The sequence below is a fragment of the Homo sapiens genome, chromosome 7, assembly GCF_000001405.40.
Source record: "Homo sapiens chromosome 7, GRCh38.p14 Primary Assembly".
Taxonomy (NCBI): domain Eukaryota; kingdom Metazoa; phylum Chordata; class Mammalia; order Primates; family Hominidae; genus Homo; species Homo sapiens.
The window spans coordinates 7,000,204-7,023,386 of NC_000007.14; the positions used below are offsets into that span (position 1 = coordinate 7,000,204).

At 41.9% G+C, this 23,183-nt stretch overlaps 2 long non-coding RNA genes across 5 annotated transcripts in view, besides 2 other annotated features; one reads left to right on the forward strand and one right to left on the reverse strand.

The window, feature by feature from the left end:
* Positions 1-23,183, forward strand: part of LOC105375138 (uncharacterized) — a 121,035-nt gene that overhangs the window by 9,963 nt on the left and 87,889 nt on the right. The window lies entirely within an intron of this gene.
* LOC124901585 (uncharacterized) lies at positions 1,325-2,985 on the reverse strand. The gene is made up of 2 exons (XR_007060204.1): positions 2,908-2,985; positions 1,325-1,632 (listed from the first exon to the last, which is right to left on the reverse strand). It is a non-coding gene; the product is annotated as an uncharacterized LOC124901585 (long non-coding RNA).
* Positions 1,920-2,558: an enhancer, noted in NCBI's record as "NANOG-H3K27ac-H3K4me1 hESC enhancer chr7:7041754-7042392 (GRCh37/hg19 assembly coordinates)". NCBI's record gives its function as "activates a minimal SCP1, AML or CMV promoter by ChIP-STARR-seq in primed H9 embryonic stem cells {active_cell/tissue: H9 hESC(primed)}" and the evidence as "EXISTENCE:reporter gene assay evidence [ECO:0000049][PMID:30033119]".
* Positions 10,919-11,420: an enhancer, noted in NCBI's record as "H3K4me1 hESC enhancer chr7:7050753-7051254 (GRCh37/hg19 assembly coordinates)". NCBI's record gives its function as "activates a minimal SCP1, AML or CMV promoter by ChIP-STARR-seq in naive H9 embryonic stem cells {active_cell/tissue: H9 hESC(naive)}" and the evidence as "EXISTENCE:reporter gene assay evidence [ECO:0000049][PMID:30033119]".

Sequence of the window (23,183 nt, forward strand, 5' to 3'; positions counted from 1 at the left end):
GGGCGAGACCACAGGACATTTAGCCCCCCAGCTCTCTTACCTCAAAGCTTGTCTCCTGAAGGCCACAGCTTCTGTCAACTGACCCTTTCCACACCTCCTTTTCTTCAGATTCCAGGAACTGCTCCCTATCCAGCTACTCTATCACAATGCTACTTGCTTTCTCACTCTAGGATCTGTTAAAACAAAAAGTGAGTCTGGGTGCATGGTTCACGCCTGTAATTCCAGCACTTTGGGAGGCCAAGGCAAGAGGGTGGCTTGAGGCCAGGAGTTCAAGACCAGCCTGCTCAACATAGTGAGATTCTCCCCCCACTCCCATCTCTGGTCTCACACACATACACATGGGCACAAATTAAATTTTATCTAAAAATTTAAAAATTGTTTTAAAATTGAAATAGTTACATGGATTATGTATATATTCATTTTGTAAAACTATAGATCTCATGGAAATGGGAACTCTTTACTCTTCCAGCAAAACATTTTTTTAGCCACAAATAAAAGAAGACCAGTGATTTAGCCTGTACACACAAAAAAGACATAAGAAAATACTGCTAAGGCTGGGGCAGGGGTGGGGGAAAGAGATCTAAAAAATTCAAATTTTACTGGGAAGGACCACTAATTAGAATCAGAATAATTACTGTTTTAAAGCATTTAAGAATAGAGCACAATGAACCCCGGGAAGAAATAGATATGATTCAGAGTCGAGCTCACAGAGCAGATGGTACCTCAGCTGAGACTGATAGAATAACATTAATAAGGGCATTCACTGCCATTTATTATCTCCTAACTGCAATGCATTTTGTATAAGTTATTTGTACTCTTCACATCAACCATGGAAAATAATAATTATTCTTATCTTTTGACGTTAAGGAAGTGGTAAGTGGTGTAAGAAGATAAATTAACATGCCAACACCAAACAGCTCAAGTTCGATAACTCAGGAGTGCCCGTGTCTCCCCAAGAGGTTGCTTAGCAGGCAGACCAGGTAGAGAGAGCCCTTCCAAGAAGTGGCAGTGAGATGTGAAACGTCTCAGTGTGTCTCTAAGAACAACAGAAACCAGTACGTAGACCAAGTGGGAAAAGCCAAGGAAGAGGCAGGAATTTCCTCTTAAGATAGCAAGAAGAATAAACAAGAGCAGGACTGAGGGAAGCCATGGGAAATGGGCAAAATACCATGCATTAAGCGAGAAAAAACAACTTTTACTTTAGAATAGGAAAGGGGGAAGGAATGGTGGTAGTCTAGGTAAGCCTAGAAGAGTAAAGGGCAGCAGAGAAAAAATTAGTTGTACTAGGGTTCTCCAGAGGGACAGAATCAATTGGATACATGTATATGAAAAAGGGAGTTTATTAGAGAGAATCGGTTCACAGGATTACAAGGCAAAGTCCCACAATAGGCTGTCTGCAAGCTGGGGAAAGAGAGAAGCTGGTGGTGGCTCAGTCCAAGTCCAAAAGCCTCAAAACCAGGGAAGCCCACAGTGCAAACTTCAGTCTCAGGCTCAGGGCCTGAGAGCCTCGGGGAAGCTGCTGGTGCAAGTCCCAGAGTCCAAAGGCAGAAGAACCTGGAGTCTGATGTCCAAGTGAAGGGGTGGGTTGCCCCTCCACACCTGTGGGTGTTTTAATTAGGTGAAACGAGAGACCTGGAAAAGAAAGAGACACAGAGACAAAGTATAGAGAAAGAAAAAGGGAGCCCAGGGGACCGGCGTTCAGCACACGGAGGATCCCACTGGCCTCTGAGTTCCCTTAGTATTTATTGATCATTATTGGGTGTTTCTCAGAGAGGGGGATGTGGCAGGGTCATAGGATAATAGTGGAGAGAAGGACAGCAGGTAAACACGTGAACAAAGGTCTCAGCATCATAAACAAGGTAAAGAATTAAGTGCTGTGCTTCAGAGATACATACACATAAACATCTCAATGCCTTAAAGAGCAGTATTGCTGTCCACAGGTCCCATCTCCAGCCCTAAGGTGGTTTTCACCTATCTCAGTAGATGGAATATACAATCGGGTTTTACACCGAGACATTCCATTGCCCAGGGACGGGAAGGAGACAGATGCCTTCCTCTTGTCTCAACTGCAAAGAGGCGTTCCTTCCTCTTACTAATCCTCCTCAGCACAGACCCTTTACGGGTGTCGGGCTGGGGGACAGTCAGGTCTTTCTCTTCCCACGAGGCCATATTTCAGACTATCACATGGGGAGAAACCTTGGACAATACCTGGCTTTCCTAGGCAGAGGTCCCTGTGGCCTTCCGCAGTGTTTTGTGTCCCTGGGTACTTGAGATTAGGGAGTGGTGATGACTCTTAACAGGCATGCTGCCTTCAAGCATTTGTTTAACAAAGAACATCCTGCATAACCCTAAATCCATTTAACCCTGAGTTGTTGACACAGCACATGTCTCAGGGAACACAGGTTTGGGGGTAGGGTTACAGATTAAAATGGAGTCTCTTATGTCTACTTTGTATACAGACACATTAACAATCTGATCTCTCTTTCTTTTTCCCACATCCAAGGTCAGGAGGAATGGAAGCAAGCTTCCTGCATGGGAAGAAGAAAAAAAGGCTTCTGGCAGAAGCCTCCACTAGCAAGCCTATCCCACCTTCCTCCGCCTGCTTTGTTCTAGCTGCTCTGGCAGCTGATTGACTGGTGCCCACCCACCTTGAGGGTGGGTCTTCCTTCCCAGTCCACCAACTCAAATGTCAGTCTCCTCTGGCAACACCCTCACAAACACACTCAGGAACAATACTCTAGGCAGCTGTCAATCCAATCAAGTTGACACCTAATTTTAACCAACATACAAGATTTATAAGCTAAGTATGTCAATGATGATAAATAAGTGTTGTGGAGAAAAGCAGAGCAGAGAGGAGAAAAGGAATGCAGAGAAGGGTTTACAAGTTTTAGAAGAATTCATACTTACAGGCCCCTGTTTTCCATAAAAAACAGGAGGCTCATCTTCTGCAGGTACTGAAGGGCTTGGGATGTTGTGAGGGTGAACTTGAAAATAACAGACAAATATCAGAGTTAATGAGGGGAAAAAGAAAAGATGAGTGGGCATCATGGTGGTCCAGCAAAGGAGGAAAACCCAAGCATGAATGTGGACTGGCACCATCAGAGAGGGCAGAGCCTCCAATAACATGGGGCAGTCTGAGAGCCAGAGTCAAGACGTGGGGGAAATGGATCCAGGTTCTGTGTTTGGCACAGTGTGTGTGGAAGAAGGATAAGAGGGCTCGGGAGGACAGGTACAGTGAGTGTGCCTCCACAGGGATGCTCTTTTGGTATGTTCTATTATTGCTGAAAAATATGCAGTGCCCCTCCCTGGGGGAGGATTATGCTATATCTAGCCCATTGATATCAGTGTAGCCAGGTGACTTGCTATTGCCAGTGAAATGTGAGTAGAAGTGACAGGTGTTACTTGTGAGCAGAAATTTTAAGAACCACGATGTAGCTCAACACCAACTTTTTTTCCTCTGCCAGTATTCCAGGTAGGAGCGACTCCCCCAACCAAGGGCCCAGAATGAAAATTATGTAGAGAAGGGTCACAGCCTACCCATGATCAATATGTAGCTGGAGTGAGCAAACAAACTTTTCTGGTTGTAAGTGTCTGAGACTTGGGAGTCATTTTGTAACTGCAGCATAACCCAATCTAAACTGGCTAATTCAAGCTTGAATATTTTAAGTTGAAAGGGAAATTAGTAAAGCCATAAGTGACCTAATTTGTTGAGAGCAGTAACAGGAGCTGATGATTAGAGGCTTGGTTGCAGGCTATGGGAGAGAAGTATGGGAATGAAAGAGACAGATGAACTGGACATTTTCATGGGTAAGGAATGTATAATTTTACAGTGTTAAATAAAATGATGAATGTAAGATTATCTAGCTTAGGTCCCTGAACACAATGTGTGTTAAATAAACAAAAGCTTTCTTCAAACAGAATTCCCCTAAGCATTTCCAGGTTGTTCCCTGTCCAGACATAGATACACCCTGTGCAGTCATAGATACTGTTGAAAGATTCGGAAATAGGAATCAGGAGCCCTGGAGTAACAGGCCCCCAGAAAATCAGAGTGGAATTGTTAGTCCAGAAGCTTGACAAACATCCACCTTCATTGTCTTCCAACTGTATCTCTGACTTCCCTCTCCCTAGTTCATTACATCCCAGTCATATTGATATCGTTGCTGTTCTTGAACACATTAAGGAGAGGCGAATAGGGTTTTTAGCTGCTGAAAGTTAGACTCGTGGCTAGAGACCAGACTAAGTCCTTTTCCTTCATGTGGAGGTTATGATTAGGATTGTCAGAGAGAGTTAGGGTTTAATTTTTTCATTAAACTAATAATATGTTTTGAGTATCTATTGCATTATGGGGCATGGAGCTTATTACATTCATGGTGCAGAGGAAGAGGGGGAGTTAACAAGGCACATAAATTACATATATAAATGAAGGTAAGTGCTATAGAGAAAAATAGAGTAGAGAAGAAAATGCCATAATGGGGCCCGGGCATTGCATTATGTAATATCATCCTATATAGTCTGCTATAGTCCAAATAGTCTGCTATCATTTGGTTTTCTCATTGGATAAAATGTTGTGAACATCTCTCTGGGATGAAACAAAAACATTCTGTATTGCTGTAGTGAAAGGTCCTCAGAAGGGAATCATTTTGTCATTCCTGAGGCTTGTTAGATATGACCAACCCATCCACCGCATCTCAGTCATAACTACTCTAAACAACACCCACCAAAGGGGGAAAGGGCTTGCTGGAATCCAGCCATCAGTACATCCTTGCAGCAGCTGAAGACTCATTTCACTTTTACCCTAACTTGGCCATCATGACAGCACCCAGCCCAATATTCCAAAGCTAGGTATTTAACACCATAATGGGGACCACTGTTTCCTAGGAGGTACTGAAGGGTTTCAGAGGCTGCAGATACAAATGATGCTTACTGCTATATCTGCAGTGCAGAAAGCTGAGAGCAAAAGTGATGAGATATCAAGGCTGCCTCTGTGGTCTGGATGCTTTCTTTAAGAAACTGGCACCAAGTGTAGGCTATATGCAGACTGTCCAGATCAATTGTGGCAGACCTTGAAATAACAATCATAGCTACTGTTTATTGAGAGCATTTTGGGTCACCTTTTCAAAGTGATTTATTTTTGTCCAATGTTAAGTAACCGGCTTAGAAGCTGAACTCACAGGGTATGGCAGGGTCAGCCCCACCCTCAGAAAATCCTTCAGACCAAGCATGTCTCAGCCATCAGGCCCCAGCATAGACAGAAAAACACATCTCCCCACGGCATCTGGCTGTGATCTAGAACATCTGGTGACAGGACAAAGGTGAGGAAGACTGACAGGAAATTATCAGAGCAAGCAAATAACAGTCTGAAATTCGGGTTTCTCTGTGAGGCTACCTCTGTCCATTTCTATCTCTGAGCATAGTATGTAAAGGAGTTGGTGTAGTAGTCGAATGGTGGCCCCCCAAAATATATACACATGTCCCAGAACCTGTGAATGTGACTTTACCTGGAAAAAAGCATTTTTGCAGATGTAATTAAGTGGAGGACTTCAGGATGAGACCACCCTGGATTATCCAGGTGGGCCTTAAATCCAAGGACAAGCGTTCTTTTTTTTTTTTTATTATTATACTTTACAGTTTAGGGTACATGTGCACGACATGCAGGTTAGTAACATATGTATACAAGTGCCATGTTGGTGTGCTGCACCCACTAACTCGTCATTTAACATTAGGTATATCTCCGAATGCTATCCCTCCCCTCTCCCCCCACCCCACAACAGGCCCCGGTGTGTAATGTTCCCCTTCCTGTGTCCATGTGTTCTCATTGTTCAATTCCCACCTGTGAGTGAGAACAGGCAGTGTTTGGTTTTTTGTCCTTGCAATAGTTTGCTGAGAATGATGGTTTCCAGCTTCATCCATGTCCCTACAAAAAAGGACATGAACTCATCATTTTTTATGGCTGCATAGTATTCCATGGTGTATATATGCCACATTTTCTTAATCCAGTCCATCATTGTTGGACATTTAGGTTGGTTCCAAGTCTTTGCTATTGTGAATAGTGCCACAATAAACATGTGTGCGTGTGTCTTTATAGCAGCATGATTTATAATCCTTTGGGTCTATACCCAGTAATGGGATGGCTGGGTCAAATGGTATTTCTAGTTCTAGATCCCTGAGGGATCGCCACACTGACTTCCACAATGGTTGAACTAGTTTAGAGTCCCACCAACAGTGTAAAAGTGTTCCTATTTCTCCACATCCTCTCCAGCACCTGTTGTTTCCTGACTTTTTAATGATTGCCATTCTAACTGGTGTGAGATGGTATCTCATTGTGGTTTTGATTTGCATTTCTCTGATGGCCAGTGACGATGAGCATTTTTTCATGTGTCTTTTGGCTGCATAAATGTCTTCTTTTGAGAAGTGTTTGTTCATATCCTTTGCCCAATTTTTGATGGGGTTGTTTGTTTTTTTCTTGTAAATTTGTTTGAGTTCATTGTAGATTCTGGATATTAGCCTTTTGTCAGATGAGTAGATTGCAAAAATTTTCTCCCATTCTGTAGGTTGCCTGTTCACTCTGATGATAGTTTCTTTTGCTGTGCAGAAGCTCTTTAGTTTAATTAGATCCCGTTTGTCAATTTTGGCTTTTGTTGCCATTGCTTTTGGTTTTTTAGACATGAAGTCCTTGCCCATGCCTATGTCCTGAATGATATTGCCTAGCTTTTCTTCTAGGGCTTTTATGGTTTCAGGTCTAACATTTAAGTCTTTAATCCATCTTGAATTAATTTTTGTATGAGGTGTAAGGAAGGGATCCAGTTTCAGCTTTCTACATATGGCTAGCCAGTTTTCCCAGCACCATTTGTTAAATAGGGAATCCTTTCCCCATTTCTTGTTTTTGTCAGGTTTGTCAAAGATCAGATGGTTGTAGATATGCAGCATTATTTCTGAGGGCTCTGTTCTGTTCCATTGGTCTATATCTCTGTTTTGGTACCAGTACCATGCTGTTTTGTTTACTGTAGCCTTGTAGTATAGTTTGAAGTCATGATGCCTCCAGCTTTGTTCTTTTGGCTTAGGATTGACTTGGCAATGCAGGCTCTTTTGGTTCCATATGAACTTTAAAGTAGTTTTTTCCAATTCTGTGAAGAAAGTCATTGGCAGTTTGATGGGGATGGCATTGAATCTATAAATTACCTTGGGCAGTATGGCCATTTTCACGATATTGATTCTTCCTACCCATGACCATGGAATGTTCTTCCATTTGTTCGTGTCCTCTTTTATTTCATTGAGCAGTGGTTTGTAGTTCTCCTTGAAGAGGTCCTTCACGTCCCTTGTAAGTTGGATTCCCAGGTATTTTATTCTCTTTGAAGCAATTGTGAATGAGAGTTCACTCATGATTTGGCTCTCTGTCTGTTATTGGTGTATAAGAATGCTTGTGATTTTTGCACACTGATTTTGTATCCTGAGACTTTGCTGAAGTTGCTTATCAGCTTAAGGAGATTTTGGGCTGAGACGATGGGGTTTTGTAGATATTCAATCATGTCATCTGCAAACAGGGACAATTTGACTTCCTCTTTTCCTAATTGAATACCCTTTATTTCCTTCTCCTGCCTGATTGCCCTGGCCAGAACTTCCAACACTATGTTGAATAGGAGTGGTAAGAGAGGGCATCCCTGTCTTGTGCCAGTTTTCAAAGGGAATGCTTCCAGTTTTTGCCCATTGAGTATGATATTGGCTGTGGGTTTGTCATAGATAGCTCTTATTATTTTGAGATACGTCCCATCAATACCTAATTTATTGAGAGTTTTTAGCATGAAGGGTTGTTGAATTTTGTCAAAGGCCTTTTCTGCATCTATTGAGATAAACATATGGTTTTTGTCCTTGGTTCTGTTTATACACTGGATTACATTTATTGATTTGCGTATGTTGAACCAGCCTTGCAACGCAGGGATGAAGCCCACTTGATCATGGTAGATAAGCTTTTTGATGTGCTGCTGGATTCAGTTTGCCAGTATTTAATTGAGGATTTTTGCATTAATATTCATCAGGAATATTGGTCTAACATTCTCTTTTTTTGTTGTGTCTCTGACAGGCTTTGGTATCAGGATGATGCTGGCCTCATAAAATGAATTAGGGAGGATTCCTTCTTTTGCTATTGATTGGAATAGTTTCAGAAGGAATGGTACCAGCTCCTCATTGTACCTCTGGTACAATTCGGCTGTGAATCCATCTGGTCCTGGACTCTTTTTGGTTGGTAAGCTATTAATTACTGCCTCAATTTCAGAGCCTGTTATTGGTCTATTCAGGGATTCAACTTCTTCCTGGTTTAGTCTTGGGAGGGTGTATGTGTCCAGGAATTTATCCATTTCTTCTAGATTTTCCAGTTTATTGGCATAAAGGTGTTTATAGTATTCTCTGATGGTAGTTTGTATTTCTGTAGGATCAGTGGTGATATCCCCTTTATCATTTTTTATTGTGTCTATTTGATTATTCTCTCTTTTCTTCTTTATTAGTCTTGCTAGCGGTCTATCAATTTTGTCGATCTTTTCAAAAAACTTGCTCCTGGATTCATTGATTTTCTGAAGGGTTTTTTGTGTCTCTATTTCCTTCAGTTCTGCTCTGATCTTAGTTATTTCTTGCCTTCTGCTAGCTTTTGAATGTGTTTGCTCTTGCTTCTCTAGTTCTTTTAATTGTGATGTTAAGGTGTCAATTTTAGATCTTTCCTGCTTTCTCTTGTGGGCATTTAGTGCTATAAATTTCCCTGTACACACTGCTTTGAGTGTGTCCCAGAGGTTCTGGTATGTTGTGTCTTTGTTCTCATTGGTTTCAAAGAACATCTTTCTTTCTGCCTTCATTTTGTTATGCACCCAGTAGTTATTCAGGAGCAGGTTGTTCAGTTTCCATGTAGTTGAGTGGTTTTGAGTGAGTTTCTTAATCCTGAGTTCTAGTTTGCTTGCACTGTGGTCTGAGACGCAGTTTGTTATAATTTCTATTCTTTTACATTTGCTGAGGAGTGCTTTACTTCCAACTATCTGGTCAATTTTGGAATAAGTGTGGTGTGGTGCTGAGAAGAATGTATATTCTGTTGATTTGGGGTGGAGAGTTCTGTAGATGTCTATTAGGTCCACTTGGTGCAGAGCTGAGTTCAATTCCTGGATATCCTTGTTAACTTTCTGTCTCGTTGATCTCTCTAATGCTGACAGTGGGGTGTTAAAGTCTCCCATTATTATTGTGTGGGAGTCTAAGTCTCTTTGTAGGTCTCTAAGGACTTGCTTTATGAATCTGGGTGCTCCTGTATTGGGTGCATATATATTTAGGATAGTTAGCTCTTCTTGTTGAATTAATCCATTTACCATTACGTAATGGCCTTCTTTGTCTCTTCTGATCTTTGTTGGTTTAAAGTCTGTTTTATCAGAGACTAGGATTGCAACCCCGCCTTTTTTTTTTTTTTTTTTTCCATTTGCTTGTGAGATCTTCCTCCATCCCTTTATTTTGAGCCTATGTGTGTCTCTGCACGTGAGATGAGTTTCCTGAATACAGCACACTGATGGGTCTTGACTCTTTATCCAATTTACCAGTCTGTGTCTTTTAATTGGAACATTTAGCCCATTTACATTTAAAGTTAATATTGTTATGTGTGAATTTGATCCTGTCATTATGATGCTAGCTGGTTATTTTGCTCATTAGTTGATGCAGTTTCTTCGTAGCCTTGATGGTCTTTACAATTTGGCATGTTTTTGCAATGGCTGGTACCAGTTGTTCCTTTCCATGTTTACTGCTTCCTTCAGGAGCTCTTGTAAGGTGGGCCTGGTGGTGACAAAATCTCTCAGCATTTGCTTTTTTGTAAAGCATTTTATTTCTCTTTCACTTATGAAGCTTAGTTTGGCTGGATATGAAATTCTGGATTGAAAATTCTTTTCTTTAAGAATGTTGAATATTGGCCCCCACTCTCTTCTGGCTTGCAGATTTTCTGCCAAGAGATCAGCTGTTAGTCTGATGGGCTTCCCTTTGTGGGTAACCCAACCTTTCTCTCTGGCTTCCCTTAACATTTTTTCCTTCATTTCAACTTTGGTGAATCTGACAATTATGTGTCTTGGAGTTGCTCTTCTCGAGGAGTATCTTTGTGGCGTTCTCTGTATTTCCTGAATTTGGATGTTGGCCTGCCTTGCTAGATTGGGGAAGTTCTCCTGGATAATATCCTGCAGAGTGTTTTCCAACTTGGTTCCATTCTCCCCGTCACTTTCAGGTACACTAATCAGATGTAGATTTGGTCTTTTCACATAGTCCCATATTTCTTGGAGGCCTTGTTTGTTTCTTTTTATTCTTTTTTCTCTAAACTTCTCTTCTTGCTTCATTTCATTCATTTCATGTTCCATCACTGATACCCTTTCTTCCAGTTGATCGAATCGGCTACTGAAGCTTGTGCATTTTTCACGTAGTTCTCGTGCCTTGGTTTTCAGCTCCAGCAGGTCCTTTAAGGACTTCTCTGCATTGGTTATTCTACTTAGGCATTCGTCTAATTTTTTTCAAGGTTTTTAACTTCTTTGCCATGGGTTCAAACTTCCTCCTTTAGCTCGGAGTAGTTTGATCATCTGAAGCCTTCTTCTCTCAACTCGTCAAAGTCATTCTCCATCCAGCTTTGTTCTCTTGCTGGTGAGGAGATGTGTTCCTTTGGAGGAGGAGAGGTGCTCTGATTTTTAGAGTTTCCAGTTTTTCTGCTCTGTTTTTTCCCCATCTTTGTGGTTTTATCTACCTTTGGTCTTTGATGATGGTAACATAGAGATGGGGTTTTGGTGTGCATGTCCTTTCTGTTTGTTAGTTTTCCTTGTAACAGTCAGGATCCTCAGCTGCAGGTCTGTTGGAGTTTGCTGGAGGTCCACTCCAGACCCTGTTTGCCTGGGTATCAGCTGCGGAGGCTGCAGAACAGCAAATACTGGTGAGCAGCAAATGTTGCTGCAGGATCATTCCTCCGGAAGTTTTGTCTCAGAGGAGTACCCGGCCGTGTGAGGTGTCAGTCTGCCCCTACTGGGGGGGTGCCTCCCAATTAGGCTACTCGGGGGTCAGGCACCCAGTTGAGGAGGCACTCTGTCTGTTCTCAGATCTCCAGCTGCATGCTGGGAGAACCACTACTCTCTTCGAAGCTGTCAGACAGGGACATTTAGGTCTGGAGAGGGTTCTGCTGCCTTTTGTCTGCCTATTCCCTGCCCCCAGAGGTGGAGTCTAAAGAGGCAGGCAGGCCTCCTTGTGCTGTGGTGGGCTCCACCCAGTTCGAGATTCCTGGCCACTTTGTTTACCTACTCAAGCCTCGGCAATGGTGGGCGCCCCTCCCCCAGTCTTGCTGCCGCCTTGCAGTTTGATCTCAGACTGCTGTGCTAGCAATGAGCAAGGCTCCGTGGGCACAGGATCCTCTGAGCCAGGCACGGGATATCTCCTGGTGTGCCATTTGCTAAGACTGTTGGAAAAGCACAGTATTAGGGTGGGAGCGACCCAATTTTCCAGGTGCTGTCTGTCACCCCTTTCTTTGACTAGGAAAGGGAATTCCCTGGCCCCCTATGCTTCCCAGGTGAGGTGATGCCTCGCCCTGCTTTGGCTCGTGCTGGGTGCGCTGCACCCACTGTCCTGCACCCACTTTCCGGCACTCCCCAGTGAGAAGAGCCCAGTAACTCAGTTAGAAATGCAGAAATCACCCATCTTCTGTGTCGCTCACTCTGGGAGCTCTAGACTGGAGCTGTTCCTATTTGGCCATCTTGGCTCCACCCCGACAAGTGTTCTTAAAGAGACACACAGAAGGGAAACAGAGAAGGCCACGTGAAGGCAAAGATTGGAGTCATGCAGTCACAAGCCAAGGAACATCTGGAGCCACCAGAAGATGGAAAAGGCAAGGAAGGGATCTTCCCTAGATGCTTCTTAGGAAGTGTGGCTCTGCTGACACCCTAATGAGAGACTTCCAGTTTCCAGAACTTCAAGAAAATAAATTTCTGTTGCTTTAAGCCACTTGGTTTGTGGTAATGCATTACAGCAGTCCTAGGAAACTAATACACTTGATGACTCTCTTTAGCCTGACCCCACGTTTGATGCCTACCACCGACACAAGAAGAAGCCCAGGCAGCAGCACCACTGCCAATCCTAAATGCCTCTGCAATTGTCATGGCCTCCATTTCATGTGCACTCCCTGTCGTATTTAAACTAAGGGATCTCTTGCACCTCCATCCTCCCAACAACCATCGAGGTCAGAGCAAGCTACATAATCATTAAAGAGATTCTCCATCTTCATGGACTATTCAGCCAATTAGTCTCCAACCTTCCATTCTGATGGATGCCCCCACTTTGCAAGACACCATTCAAAACTATCTATGTAATTACCAGATGCCCTTCTGATACACCCTTCCAGACACCTTGGCTCTTTTACCTGCTCAGATTGCATAGAAATGGGCTACAGTGAATTAGTAAATTGCTATTTTCCTCTTACAGAATAGCCATTTCCCTGAAAGTTATCATTTCCTCCTCTACATTTTCTCAGGTGTCTGCTGCTCTTGACACAGTGCAGAGCCAAGCACAATGCGTGGCACATAGAAGGCACTCAATAAATGCTTGCCAACTGAATAACTAGAGGCCAGGCAGCTTAGGAACACCCAGGAGGATAACCTAGAACCCACAAAAACGTCAGGGAGTGCTCTAAACACTTTCCCACTGGCACTGCTACCACTGGCCTCCTAATACATTTCACCACTCTCCTTAGCTTGACCCTATTTTTGATGCCTGCACCTAGTGATGGTGGAAGCCTATTCTGGGCTCCCCACAGTGGGCATATGGAGCTTGCTTCGGGCAAAGTCTTCCTGCCAAAGGGAGAGGAATTTACCAGGTGAACAAGCAAAACTTCAAGGACAACCTCTACCTTCTGGCTAGCATTCTGCCTCCTGTCTCTTTTCTGTTTTGACCTCCCTGGTTCCATGCATTGTGTTCAGACACCCAGAACTCCGTCTCTTAGTGTTTGGATCAAGTTCTCTACTTAATATTAGGCTCACAAGCTCTCATGCTGTGTTTTGGGAGTGTGACAGTAAGAAATATATACTTGGTGTTTGTCTTTGGTTTCCAACACAGAGCTTTAAAAAATAATAATAATTTTTAAGAGACAGGGTCTCACCAGTGGCATGATCATAGTTCACTGCAGCCTTAAACTCCTGGGCCCAGGTAATCCTCCTGCCTCAGTATCCTGAGTAGCTGGAATGACAGGTGCTTGCCACCATGCTGACTCCTGACAGAATTCTAAAACCCTTGGAATTTCCTGAGTGACAAGGGTGATAGGAGCATCTTTTGTTATCATAGCAAGCACCTTTCAACCATATCTGAGTTTATGCTAACAATGTGACTCTTGGAGGATAAGGGCTGGTTGTCCTAGGAACCAATGAAGTGATTAGAGGGTTGGAATTTCCTCCCCGACCCCTCGACCTCCTGGGAGGGGACAGGGGCTGGAGATTGAGGTAATCAACAATGGCCAATGATTTAATAAATCATGCCTATGTAATGAAAGCTTCATAAAATGCCTAAATGGTGGGGCTCAGAATGCTCCTGGATTGGTGAACACAGCCAGGGGCTGAGAGGGTGGTGCACCCAGAGAGAGCATGGAAGCTCCGTGTACCCCCATACCTTAAACTATGCATCTTTTCTGTTTGGCTGTTTCTGAGTCATATCCTTTAAGATAAATTGGTAATAGTAGGTAAAGTGCTTTCCTGAGTTCTGTGAGCTGTTCTAGCAAATTATCAAACATGGAGAGGGAGTCTTGGGGGAATCTCCAATTTGTAACCAATCAGTCAGAAGTATGGGAGGCCTGAGACTTGGGACTGGTTTCTGAAGCGAGGGCAGTCTTGTGGGACTGAGTCCTTAACCTGTGGGATTCACGCTTACTCCAGGTAGATGGTTAAAACTGAACTGAATTCTTGGACATCCAGTTGGAGTCCGGAGAGTTCAGGGAGACAGGATCTGCGCTATGGTATCATACAGATCAAACATAAGAACCTCAGCTACATTACCTTGAAGCTGTATGACCTTGAGCAAGTCCTCTCAGATTCTCAGTTTCTTCACTTGCCAAGTGGAAAAAAGATAAGAACTATGCAGGCTTGTTTGGAGACTTAGGAATAATGCGAGGATTAGCAAACTGGCAGGGTAGTTGGAACACAATAAAATTTCAAAATATATCAGCTCTTGTTATCACTGGACTATATTCACGTTTGGCCTCCAAATTCATAGCATTTAATGCAGAAAGGAGTTCTTGCAGAACCCTGGGCAGCCTCGCTCACTCTTTCAGACCCGAAGAGGTGAACAGAATACTCCCAACTATTCCCAGATGTTTCTACAGTTCTCTCTTACTGAACTGGGGATGGAAATAACAAAAGCCATTAGAAAATACTAGTTTGAAAAAATTAACTTTCTTAGCACTTAATTTTATCTCTAGCAAATGTAACTTTCTAGTTTTACACAGTGTCAGCAGATGTAACTCAAAATGCCTTACAAGAATACATCAGTCACAAAACATTGTGATGTACTAAATATCACTGAATTGTACACTTTAAAATGGTGAATTTTACCTCAATTTAAAAAATTTGTTTAAATGTGGTTGATACAGGAGTTAAGAAGAAATTACTTAGGCAGATAGTGAGGCTATGGACATAAGGTAAGGTTTTTTCCTTTTAATGAAAAGCAGCCCCAAATTATTTTTCTTTCTAACAAAGAGCAGCCTGTAAAATCAAGCTGCAGATGATGCTGGCAGTTGTGCCAGTCGGAGCAGAAAAAATGGTGCTGCCAACGGGAAAGTGCATTTGCATAATAAGATTATGGTGGGGCAGCCAGCCTTCCCCCTTCCCTGGCTATGTAAATGTTATACCTGATCAAAACCAATCTGTGAGCCCTGTGTAAATTAGACACTGCCTCCTCAAGCCTGACTATAAAATCCTGCACATCTGCCACAGGCCAGCCTTTTCCTCTCAGAAGTCCCCTCTCTCCCATTAAAGAGAGTGCTGTTTTCCTTTCTCTTTCTTTGTCTTTCTTTTGCCTATTAAACCTCCACTCTGAAACTCCTCATGTGTATCTGTGTCCTAAATTTTCTTGGCATGAGATGACGAACCCTGGGTATTTACCCCATGCAACGTAACTGCCGCACAGTGACTGATGTTGTCTCCAGGATCAGAATGTTGACCTGGAGTTCATTTTAAAAACAGGTTCTTGAGATTCTGATTCTCTAGGTCAAGGTAAAGCATAGTCATCCATGCCTTGTAAAATCTCCCTTAGAGATTCAGATGAGTCAGAGTTGAGAACCATTGATTCACGATTTAAAATATCTCAAAATTGGGCAAAGGATATGAATAGAGTAGAAATTGCACTTAAAAAAAGAAAAAGACTGTTGTTATCTGGCTAAGATGGTTGGATTCTGGGGGCATTCTTTTCTCTATCATTTCTATTATTTGAATTATGATAAAGTTTGGGTTTTCTTGTTGTTATTTTGGGGGATTTTTGAGACAGGGTCTCACTCCTGTTTCCCAGGCTGGAGTAGCTGGGAATACAGTCACATACCACCAAGCTTGGCTTTTCTTTTTTTCTTTTAATTTTTAGTAGAGATGGGGTTTCGCCATGTTGCCCAGGCTGGGCTTATTAATCCAGGGCAGATTACTCATGGGCTTAAGAAATCCACCTGCCTTGGCCTCCCAAAGTGCTGGGATTATAGGCATGGGCCACCATGCCCAGTCTACGATAACGTTTGAGCAATGCATTTAACTATGTACTTTTCTGTGGGTTTTTATTCATTTTGTTTTTAGGAAGAAGTGTCTGTTTAGTGGTAGGGGCAAGCTTGGGAGCTATGAGGGGGGAAAACAAAACATGGTCCCTATAGCACCCTCTGGATTCTCCTTATCCAGGAGAGGATGAGAGGAGCTAGGGTAGCATAGCAAGACCTCATCTCTACATTGAACCTCTTCCATTCGAAAGGGTCCCAACACCAAAAGCAATTTCAATAAAAGCAAGATTTGATACATGGGACCTAATTAAAGAGCTCTGCACAGCAAAAGAAACTATCAACAGAGTAAACAGACAATCTACAGAATGGGAGAAAATATTGGCAAACTAGGCATCCCACAAAGGTCTAATATCCAGAATGTATAATGAGCTCAAACAAATCAATGAGCAAAAAACAGCCCCATTAAGAAATAGGCAAATAACATGAACAGATAACTTTTCAAAAGAAGACCTTCATGTGGCCAATAAGCATATGAACAAATGCTCAACATCACTAATCATTAGGGAAATGCAAATCAAAACTACAATGAGATACCATCTCACACCAGTCACAATGGCTATTACTGTTAGTATTATTATTATTATTATTTAGACAAAGTCTCACTCTGTCACCCAGGATGGAGTGCAGTGGTGCTATCTTGGCTCACTGCAACCTCCACCTCCCGGGTTCAAGTAGTTCTCATCCCTTAGCCTCCTAAATAGCTGGGACTACAGGTGTGCGCCACCACACCTGGCTAATTTTTGTATTTTTAGTAGAGACGGGGTTTTGCCATGTTGGCCAGGCTGGTCTCCAACTACTGACCTCAAGTGACCTGCCTACCTCAGCCTCCCAAGGTGCTGGGATAACAGACTTGTGCCCTGATGCCCAGCCACAATGGCTATTAGTAAAAAGCCAAAAAACAACAGATGCTGATGCGGCTACACAGAAAACGGAACGCTTATACATTGTTGGTGGGAAGGTAAATTAGTTCAGCCACTGTGGAAAGCAGTTTGGTGATTTCTCAAAGAACTTATATCAGAATTGCCACCTGACCCAGCAATCTCATTATTGGGTATATAACCAAAGGAATATAAATCATTCCACCATAAAGACATATGCACACCTATGTTCATTGCAGCACTATTTGCAATAGCAAAGACATGGAATCCACCTAAATGTCCATCAGTGATAGACTGTATAAAGATAATGTGGTACATGTTTACAGTGGAATACTATGCAGCCACAAAAATAATGAGCTATGTCCTTTGTAGCAACATGGATCAACATGGATGCAGCTGGAGGCCATTATCCTAAGCAAACTAACAGACAGGAACAGAAAACCAAATACCCCACGTTCTCATTTATAAGTGGAAGTTAAATGTTGAGTACATATAGATACAAAGAGGGGAACTATAGACATCGGGGCCTACTTGAGGATGGAGGGTGAGAGGAAGTTGAGAATTGAAAAACTACCTATCAGGTACTATGCTCATTACCCGGGTGATGAAATAATTTGTACACCAACCACCCCTCCATTGCAACATGCAATTTACCTATTTAACAAACCTGCACATGTGCCCCTGAACCTAAAATAAAAGTTTAGAAAATAAAATAAAGTAGTTGTGAAACTCTTTAAAAGAAAAAAAGGGTCCCCAAGCACAGCTCAGCATCCCTTTGTTTCCTGATGGGAGGTGGGCAGTGGGGATATGAACTTTCCGGGGTGACTGAGGCTCTTCAGTGAAGCAGGGTGCTATGAGATCTGGAGGAGAGAGGCTATATAGGAACAGCCAGGGTGCAGCAGACAACACTCCAATGCTCGGTTGTCTTCAGCTTTCCCTCTGACCTCCTCCCCTCACACCTCCTGCCACCCACCCCACCTCCCCCACAACCCATCTTCCCCGCCACCTCCAAGTCCACTTGTAACTGGCATATGAATGTAGACTGGGCAGTACCTCATTTCTGAAAGGGCTTGCTGCTTCCAGGAAGATTTCACCTAAGGCAAAATCTTACTAGATTTGCAAGCAAAGAGCAAACAACCCCATTAAAAATTGGGCAAAGAACATGAACAGTCACTTCAAAAACAGACATTGGTGCAGCCAACAAGCTTGTAAAAAAATGTTCAACATTACTAACCATTAGAGATACGAAAATCAAAACCACAATGAGATATCATCTCATACCAGTCAAAAGAAAACATGCGGGGAGAAAGGGAATCAGGTGGCAGAAATAAAGGGAAGTATTAAACCTACATCTATGAGCCAGAGAGAAAAAAAAAGACTGAATTTTAATAAAAAAAAAAATGTTCTTACTAGGTTCTTCATTTCACAGGGTAGGAGAAAGAACCTCATCTCTGACTATTTGGAGTTTTCCCAGTTTGCTATTATCCAAGAGAAGATGCTTTTGGATTTTTTTGTATTTCTTTTAGGGATGTAATCACTACTTGTTATTATCCTCCTCTACATTTCATTTCTCCCTCCTCCTTTTGATTGTAAACTCTGACTTTTCAGATCAACTCAAACACTCCCTGGCTGAGTTGTTACCACATAAATACCTGTTGAATTACTAAGTGATTAGTTGAAGTGGAAAATGTAAGAATCGTAGAGTGTTCTGCTTTTACTATAAAAGATTTGATGAAGCTTTTCTTGTGGTTCCTAGGAAAATACATTCTTTTTTTTTGAAGCTTCCACCTCTCTCACAGCTGATGTCCCAGCTTATAAGATTGGAAACTGAGTTGAGATATGAGTCTCCAACTAGGCCGTGAGGTCCTACTGGCCCCTTCAAGCCATGTTAACAATGCCAGGTTAGGAGACTAGAATATTGAGGTCTAGTCCCAGATGCATATAGTAGTATATTACTATACTGTATATTAAGGCTTCACCTGAATGCCTCTTTTGGAAGTTAATAAGAGACCACAGGGAATTTTTAATTACTTTAATTGAGCTTTTTAGAATGTGGAATTTATTCCATTCCAGTTTCAAAAAGACTCTAGTGTCAGTATCCCAATCTTCCCCCACACCAATTACCTATTTCCACTCTGTAACTGATACATTACCAAAGTTTATTATGCAGAATTAACATGACCTAGCTGCAAGGTCCACAGCCAGAAAACAGACATGTCGAAGAGTATTAGTTAAAATGAGAGCTTTTACATAACAATAATCAAATCGGTATGTAGTTATGAATGAGTATCTTTTTTAATGTCAAAAAATTGAGCAGACTCATAAGACAATCGTTGTGCATTAAGTTACCCATTGAGAAAAAATAATTGATTACTTTTTTCCTTTTTTTTGAGACAGGGTCTTGCTCTGTCACCCAGGGTGGAGTGCGGTGGCATGATCTCAGCTCACTGCAGCCTTGACATCCCAGGCTCAGGCGATCCTCCCACCTCAGCTTCCCCAGTAGCTGGGACTACAGGCCTGTGCCACCACGCCCAGCTAATTTTTTGTATTTTTTGTAGAGACAGGGTTTTGTCATATTGCCCAGGCTGGTCTTGAACTCCTGGGCTCAAGCAATCTTCCTGCCTCAGTCTTTCAAAGTGCTGGGATTCCAGATGTGAGCCACCAAACCAGGTGAATAACTCATTTTTAATTTAATGAATTTATTTAAAATTTAGTAAAGATTTTGAAACTTGTTTTCTTCAGCATAAGAAGTATCTACATATATCTTAAAATGTAATTATTCACATATGTTCATGATGTGTCTGACAGGCAAGGAAGGCACGGCCATTTATGTCTCTATAAATCCTCTAAGAACACAAGAAATCCTCTAAGAACACAAATGACTCTGGAGGTGACAAGGCCCATTGGAGATTTTTAGGTGGAGTGGAATGATGACATTGATTTTTTGAAAAGCTAACCTTGACAGCTGTAGGGAGAACCAACTGCAGTTGGGAACTCAGCAGCCCAGAGGTCAATTAGGAAGCAGAGGGGAATGCCGGCTGCGCTGGGATGCAGAGACGCCTCTGTGGTGACTTGGAGACCAACGGAAATTACAATGAGGGAGAGAGAAAATCCAAAGTGTTCTTAAGGGGTGGATTAAAGGAGAAAGCATGATAAGAAATAAGAAATATCAGAGAAGGAGGTGTTGAAATAGGGACAATTGAAGGGTAGAAAAGGGGTTGAAAGGAGGGACAAGTAATATGAATTTAGTTTAATACCTACTAAGGCAGAAGTACCTGAGCTACATCCAGTGGGTAGTTGGATGTCAGTCTAAAACCAAGGAGATCTGAGTTAGAGGTTTAGAAGATAATGAAATATAGTCGTTATAACAACAGCTTCAAAGTCAAATAGACAATGGGTTCAATCAAAGTTCTGCCACGGGATTAGACAAAATTTGGGGTCTTACTGAGCATACACTTCTTCATTTTAGAATGAAGATGGTAATTCTCAGAAGAGTATTTGGTATGAATTGGGTGAGACAAGGCAGGTACAAAAGTTAGCAAAGTGCCTGGCACAAGTACTATGCTAACTGCTCAGTAAATGTTAGATGCCGTTACTATTACGTAAGTTATTGAGTCATGAATAGAGTAGGAATTGAAGCCAGGATGGAAGCTGATAACCCTGAAGTGTGTGAGACAGGAGAATCAAAGACAGGGCCTTGGGGATGCCAACCCAGGAGGGGCAGGCAGAGCTGGAGCAGGCAAAACAGACTAAGAACACACAGAGACAGGGGGACGGAGAATCAGGATTGGGTGATAACCTGGAAGCCAATGAAAGAAAGAGTTGCAGCAAGTAGGAGGATGGTTAGAATCGTATTTAGCAGATAAGCAGCAGAAAATTAACTATTAGATCTATCAATAAGTATGTCTTTGTTGACCTGAACAGCAATTTGAAGAAAGATAGGGTAGAGGCAGTGCACAGAGACAGCATTCAGCTTTCCTATCAGTCTGAAAGTTTAATTATTAAAATAGCCATATAATTCTGAAAGAGTGAATATAATCTAGCTAAAAACCAGGCAGGGACTAATTACTAGTATTAACACAGCTGAAGCGGATCTCCTCAGGAACCTTCCCCTCAGTGTGTGATCATGCTAGTATTTCTCCCATCTTAAAAAAGTAAAAACAAAAACAAACAACACAATAACAAAAAAATCTCTTAACTTTACAACTCTGCAGCTCTACTTCTTTTTCCATTCTACTTCTGCTCCATTTCTCTCATTACCTTCACAGCAAAACTCTGCCAGTGGTTGGTCTAAATTCCCCATTTCCAGTTTTTTTATATTCTCTCTTACACCTACTCCAAAATGGCTTCTCTCTGACATTCCACTAAAACTCTTGTCAGAGTCACCAAGGACTTCCACATTGCAAAATCCGATGGTCAATTCTCAGTCCTCATCTTCGTTGCCTGATTAGCAACATTTGATACACCTAATCACCCTTTTTCTTTAAATATTTGATTCATTTAGTTTCCAGAATGCACATTCTCTTCACCCTCCTCTTTTTTCATCAGCCACTCTCTGAGTCTCCTTTCCTTGTTCCCTTTTATCGTCTTGACCTCTTAATATTGAAGAGCCCTAAGCTCAGTCCTTAGACTTCTCCAATATATATTTTAAATCTATGCACTCCTCACTCAACAATCTAATCCAGTCTTGTGACAAAAATAAATTGTATGCTGGTAACTCCTAAATTTGTATTTTAAGCCTAGAACTTTCCAGAAACTCCAAACTACTACTTCCATGTTCATTTAAAGATTTTTATTTGAAACCCTTTTTTTCAAAAAACTGTCCATTTAAAAAATAAATATCAACAAAAGCAATGCATCATCTCTTTTAATTTTTATTTTAGGTTTGGGGGTACATGTGAAGGTTTGTTACATGGATAAACACGTGTTGTACATATTATTACATCATCCTCGTATTAAGCTCAATATCCAATAGTTATCTTTTCTGCTTCTCTCCCTCCTCCCACCCTGCCCCTTCAAGTAAACTCAGTGTGTGTTGTTTCCTTTTTTGTGTCCATAAGTTCTTATCATTAAGCTCCCTCTTATAAATGAAAACATGCGGTATTTGGTTTTCTGTTCCTGTGATAGTTTTCTAAAGATGATAACCTCTGGCTCCATCCATATTCCCACAAGAGACATGATCTCATTCTTTTTTAATGGTTGCATAATATTCCATGGTGTATATGTACCACATTTTCTTTATCCAGTCTGTCGTTGATGGGCATTTAGGTTGATTCCATGTCTTTGCTATTGTGAATAGTGCTGCAATGAACATTCCCATGCACGTGTCTTTATGGTAGAATGTTTTAAATTTCTCTGGGTATATACCCAGTAATGGGATTGCTAGGTCAAATGGTAATTCTGCTTTTAGCTCTCTGAAAAATCACCATACTGCTTTCCACAATAGTTGAACTAATTTACTCTCCCACCAACAGTGTGTAGGATTCCTTTTTCTCTGCAACCTCACAAGCATCTGTTATTTTTTTCTTTTTAGTAACAACCATTCTGACTGGTGTGGGATGGTATCTCATTGTGGTTTTGATTTGCATTTCTCTAATGATCAGTGATATTGAGCTTTTTCTCATATGTTCATTGGCCACATGTATGTCTTCTTTTGAAAAGTGACTGTTCATGTCCTTTGCCCCCACTTTTTAAGGTGGTTGCTTTTTTTTTTTTGAGACGGAGTTTCACTCTTGTTGCCCAGGTTGGAGTGCAATGGCGCAATCTCGGCTCACTGCAACCTCTGCCTCCCAGGTTCAAGCGATTCTCCTGCCTCAGCCTCCCTAGTAGCTGGGATTACAGGCATGTGCCACCACGCCCGGCTAATTGTGTATTTTTCATAGAGATGGGGTTTCTCCATGTTGGTCAGGCTGGTCTCGAACTCCCGACCTCAGGTGATCCACCCACCTTGGCTTCCCGAAGTGCTGGGGTTACAGGAGTGAGCACCCAACCTTGTTTTTCTCTTACAAATGTCAGTTCCTTATAGATGCTGGATATTAGACCTTCGTTGAATACATAGTTGGCAAATATTTTCTCTCGTTCTGTAGTTACTTGCTTACTCTGTTGATAGTTCCTTTTGCTGTGCAGAAGCTCTTAAGTTTAATTAGATCTCATTTGTAATTTTTTATTTTTGTCGTGTTTGCTTTTTGTGTCTTTGTCGTGAAATCTTTGCCCATTTCCAGATCCAGGATGGTATTGCCTAGGTTGCCTTCTAGGGTTTTTATAGTTTTGGGTTTTACATTTAAGTCCTTAATCCATCGTTTTAAATATTTATTTATTCTTCAACTTTTCTTTTAAGTTCAAGTCCTGCACATGTACAGGACGTACAGGTTTGTTACATAGGTAAACGTGTGCCATGTGGTTGGTTGTACAGATCATACCATTACTTAGGTATTAAGCCCAGCATCCGTAAACAATTCTTCCTGATGTTCTCCCTGCCCTTGCACCACCAACAGGTCCTACTGTGTGTTGTTCCCCGCAATGTGTTCATGTGT